This window comes from Homo sapiens, chromosome 4, assembly GCF_000001405.40.
Source record: "Homo sapiens chromosome 4, GRCh38.p14 Primary Assembly".
Classification (NCBI taxonomy): domain Eukaryota; kingdom Metazoa; phylum Chordata; class Mammalia; order Primates; family Hominidae; genus Homo; species Homo sapiens.
This window is the reverse complement of record NC_000004.12, coordinates 180,697,720-180,702,746: the sequence shown is the minus strand read 5'-3', so window position 1 is coordinate 180,702,746 and position 5,027 is coordinate 180,697,720. Positions and strand designations below refer to the sequence as shown.

At 38.7% G+C, this 5,027-nt stretch overlaps 1 annotated feature.

Annotated features, from left to right (window-relative positions):
- Positions 3,083-4,282: an enhancer, noted in NCBI's record as "MED14-independent group 3 enhancer chr4:181619618-181620817 (GRCh37/hg19 assembly coordinates)". NCBI's record gives its function as "activates an origin of replication core promoter dependent on BRD2, BRD4, P300/CBP and CDK7 cofactors, and independent of MED14, by STARR-seq in HCT116 cells {active_cell/tissue: HCT116}" and the evidence as "EXISTENCE:reporter gene assay evidence [ECO:0000049][PMID:35650434]".

The following is a 5,027-nucleotide window of genomic DNA, read 5'->3' as shown; positions in this document are numbered from 1 at the left end:
CAATTTATTTCTCTTAGAAGCCCCAACCGCTTTACCTTTATCTACTCACCTCCCACAATTTATCAACCTATGTTAAAATGATAGATGTAGCTAACAGCTTCTACAGGTTTTTTACCTCAGTTTTTGTGATGCCCCCATGCACATAACATCACAAATATTAAAGAAATTTCTATGACTTTTCCTCTGTTAATCTTTCTCTTGTCAGTTAAATCACAGACCTCAATTAGTGAACATGAGAGTAGAGAAACGTTTTTCTTCCCTAACACATTATATAAATGTCGGTAAGAATCCACATTCTGGGGTTATAGAAATTCTGTTATTAAAAAGATAAAGTGAATCATTGGGCAAAAATTGCTCATAGGTAAACTACTCAAAAACACTACTTGAAACTGTTAATATATGGATTTGATAGTGACAGCAGGCAGAGAAATTCTTTGTAGACAGGGGTGTGTCCCTGAGGAAACCCTACTTTTAAGCTTAAAAGCCTGAAAGTCACAGCCCAAAGTGAGAACTCCCATTCCTGTGGGCGTGCTCTCCCTCAATTGGTTCTTTCTGAAGAATGTCTTTTTACCAGTCTAATGTCGCCTTTTCCAAAACTACCTACCACCCACCTGACCCACATCTTTTGCTCATTAAGGCCCCAGACTTAGCTGGCAGACAGAAGTGGCTGGAGACTGGGAAGAAGTGGCTGGATATCGCGAAGAGGCAACTTTGAGACCGTGGCTGGATGAGGCCAGAAGAGAAAAGCAGAGAGGGGGCTCTCCCCTGAAGTCAAGTCCTCTAAGAGCCACTTTCACCACCCAGTAAAATTCTCCACGTTCACCATCCCTCAATTCATTCATGTGACCTCATTCCTCTTGGGCACTGGACAAGAATTTGGGATGCACCACATGCAGGTACCCAAAAAGGCTGTCACACCGCCCTTTTCCCTCGATGCGGTGGGCAGCCACTCCACACAATGAGGTAAGGGTCAAGGGGTGCATTGAGCTGACAGGTCACTGCTGTCTGCAGATGGCAGAGCTAAGAGAGCATTGTAACATGGTTGTCGGATCTTCCTGAAGTTTGCTCCCACCAGTGATGAAGTGGGCAACTGGTTTCTATACTCCTTCGCTTGTGTGCTCCCCACTGTGAGGGGTGGACCCCAGTGGACCAAGTGAATGGAGTTTGCTCCTGTTGGGCCACCAGCTGGCTCCCGTACCTGCTCGCTCCAGTTCCCACACTTGTTTGCTCACATGCTCCCTCCCGCGAGGGATTGAGCAGGGTGGGCCGAGTAAATGAGGCACCACTGTTGCAGGTCCTGTTAACAGGTCAAGAAAATATCCTACATCAGATTGTGATTTAGAAAGAAATTCTAGATAAATAATTATTATAACACTTAAATACTCAAATTTAATTAAACCACAGAAGTTTGCAGTATAAAGCATAAATTACAGATTCTGTTGCTAAATATTATGCCCTGAATTGGAGCCTACTAAACAGACATTTCATAATCTATCCAGATGTCCTAATATCAACTTCTAGAATCATATTACAAGCCAATGAAATACTTTCATGCAATTTTTCTAAGTTCATAAAAATGAGTTTTCATTCTGAAAAATAGCTATTATTGAGGCTTCTGGAAAATCATGACATCTTTTCAATGATATAAATTCCAACCACTTGCAAGCTCAAGTAACACAGTAACATACGTTACCAGATCTTGTTTAACCTAATTCTAGATGTAATATCTAAATCTAAATCTATCTATACCAGTATTTTTACCAATATTTTTAAGACTAACTAACATAAAGAAAATTTGATACAGATTCTTGTTTAAACCAGACAGAAGATTTAAAATTCTTGGCACATTTTAGCATTTGTTAGTTGCTCTTATCCTTTTTGATAATATTTTTACATAAAGCTGAGATAAATTATGAGCTTCCTCCTCTAATTGTATTTCTACTTTACCGCAAGGAAAACCCACTGTTATTCAAATCAATCTTTACTCCCAAAATGGTTGCTAGTGACACCCTGAAATTAGCATCTAACAGCCTCATCAATTCCAGATGACAAAGAAATAAGTGCCCCTATTGTATGATTAGGAGTTAGTTTCAAATCCAAAGAATAGTCTCGATTAATTTCAGCATATTTTGAATCTTAAAAAAGTTCATGTCTTTTAAAGAATAAGACAATTGTATGACAGATTCCTTTCTTTCACATCATATTTGAAACGGATACAACCTTTCCAGTTGTGCATGTGAAAATTGATTTTAGTATCTAGGATTGTATTATACTTCCTGTTATACTCAGAGTTTTGGAGAACTATTTTTCTATTATAGATTTCTTCGGTTAAGCCTAAAATTCATTATCTATAATTTTTTTTCAAAAGTCATTTTATGGCTTTTTAGGACTATTGAAGGAAAGCTTGACTGAAAATTTACAGGTCAAAATAGAGCTTTATTTCACTTATACAAGTTTATAAATTCTGGATAGTCCTCCTCATGTTGGAGAATACAAATTATCATATTTGGTTGCTGCTCAAATTAAAGGGGCGGTACATTTTCAAAAGACATCAATAAATATATCTTTTCTTCCATTGTTGAGGCTTTTTAAAGGGATGTGCACTACTCTATTTTTTTGGAATGGGATAAAATAGAAAATGAACAGTCAAAAGCAAAAAGGAGAAAGAAAATCAGGTTACAGCTTTAACTCATGGTAGGTTCTCTTATTAGAAACACTAACCCAAAGTGATACATTAAAATTAGCTGACATATATTTCAAAAATCTAACTCCAGTGATCACTATTTCAGTTTTTACCAGGGAGTTGTTTTATTTTCACCATCTTTTTTCTTTTGAAAGCCTCATTCCCAAAGACATCTCCTTGAATTAATTTTTTTTGAGCAAATTAGCTGCTCCTTTTTTTCAGATTTACTGTTCTAGGCCTCACTGTGAGTATGGGAAACAGGTGGGAGGGTTCAAATAGTAAGTAAGGTTGTGAAGATATTCTCCTTCTGAGATGATAGCCTAGGCCAATCTTGGGAAACTGAAGGTAAAGTTGCAGATAGAGTTGTGTGGGCTGAATTGTGTATTCCCTGCGAAATTAATGTTGAACTTCTAACCTGCAATGTGACCGTATTTGGAGATAGAGCCTTTAAGGAGGTAGTTAAGGTTAAATAAGGTCATAAGGTCAGGTCCCTAATCAAACAGAATTGGAGTCTATACACGAAAAAGGAGAGACACCAGAGATGTGTACACACAGAGGAAAGGCCATGTGAGGTCACAGTGAGAAGGCAGCTGTCTGCAAGCCAGGAAATGAGGCCTCACCGACCTTACCGGCATCTTAATCTTGGACTTGCAGTCGCCAGAACTGTGAGAAAATAAACTTGTCTTCTTCCAGTCATCTACAGTCATCTAATCTATGTTATTCTGTTATGGTAGCCTGAGCAGTCTAATACAGATAGTTGGGATTTAATCTTCACAAACGCGTAAAATAATGAACCTGTTGCAGAATCTTTGCTTCTTATTTCACCTAAAACGGGGTTCTTGTCACACTATCAGGGACGATTAGGCATGTGGACATGTTGAAGAGTGCCTAGAGCAAAATTTATTGGGTGAAAAGGAAAAAAGGAAAAAAAACTCTCAGCAAAGCGGGAGGGGTCCTGCTAACAGGCCCCCACTTAACAGATTGATTACCAAGCCGCCATCTACACAAGCTGAAGAGGCCAGGCTCCTCCCCACTGCACAAGGCATGAATTTCCCTGTGGCTCCACCCCATTCTCCCAGTGCACAGGCAAGCCCCCAGTCCACTGTGGGCATGCACAGACAAGATCCCGGGCAGTTTCCCTCATCTACACAAAAGCATCTGATGTAGCATTTGTGGGGCGAGCCAGAGATTTTCCGGGCACCCTCCTCATCTGCCTCATCTGCCTCCTGCATCTACTAAATCTACATACTAACAGTGGGGGAGTGTGGGGAGTGCAGAAGTGAGCCCTTCACTCCAACTACGCTGTCCTACCACCGTAATCCTTAGGGCTTCTCATGTTTCAATCTGTCTTCTTCCCTTCCCTTCTTACCTCGCCTGGGGAGACCGTACCTGGCTTTCTGGTGCATGAAGTCTCACACACGTTTTAGGTCCTCCCTTTCTCCATGAATTTATTCTTTATAGAAACTCACATTGATTATTCTCACTTAAAAAAATCCCGTTGCGGCTATTGTCTTTGCCTCCCTTTAGCATTTATTTTTTAGTGTAGTTTGTTTGATTCTATCAGCCCCCTCGACTGGAATTTCCCACAGGATAGTGATCAATGATCATATCTTCTTTTCTATTCCCCGAGGTTTAATGATCATTTGTTTGTTGGGCAATTTTCCACTTTTCTTATTTCTTCCACTTGATAAAACAGGGGATTTCTCTTCTTATAGATGTTAAGGCTTCTCCTGATATCCATAATTTCACTATATCCATATTATATGCAAAAGGGAGTTTTTGAAATACTTTGACCAACTGTTGTGTATTATGTTGAAGTTTAACAGTCTCTCTAATATTTGATGTATTTTTATATTCATTATTCTCAACTAAAATAAAATTATTGCAAACCAGAATGGAAAAGAATTCTAGTTGGTATTTGAAAAAACATCAATATCAAGGACAAATGATCTTCCTTTTTTTGTGTATGACCACCTTAAATGTTTAGATGTTAAAATTATCTAAATCTATCATATATGTGACATTTATTATCTGCTTAAATCACTTACTTGAATTTATTTTCATATTTTTTTAAATAACTGAGGCTATCTGTATGTTGAATGAACCAATTAAGCATAAGTTCTTGAAATCCATCAGCGTACAATGCAATGTCTTTTTTCGAGGTAGGAAGAAAAACATGTCCTACCCCTGAGGTGAAAGCTGCAAGTTCTATTTGGCAGTGTAGGGTTCTAGTTACTTGGAGAGCTCTCATATATAGTGGCAGCAGGGTTCTGTTGTCAACATAACCCCTGTAGCCAACTTGGATGAGATGAATTCCTAAAAATGTAGGGTTAAGATGGTAAGT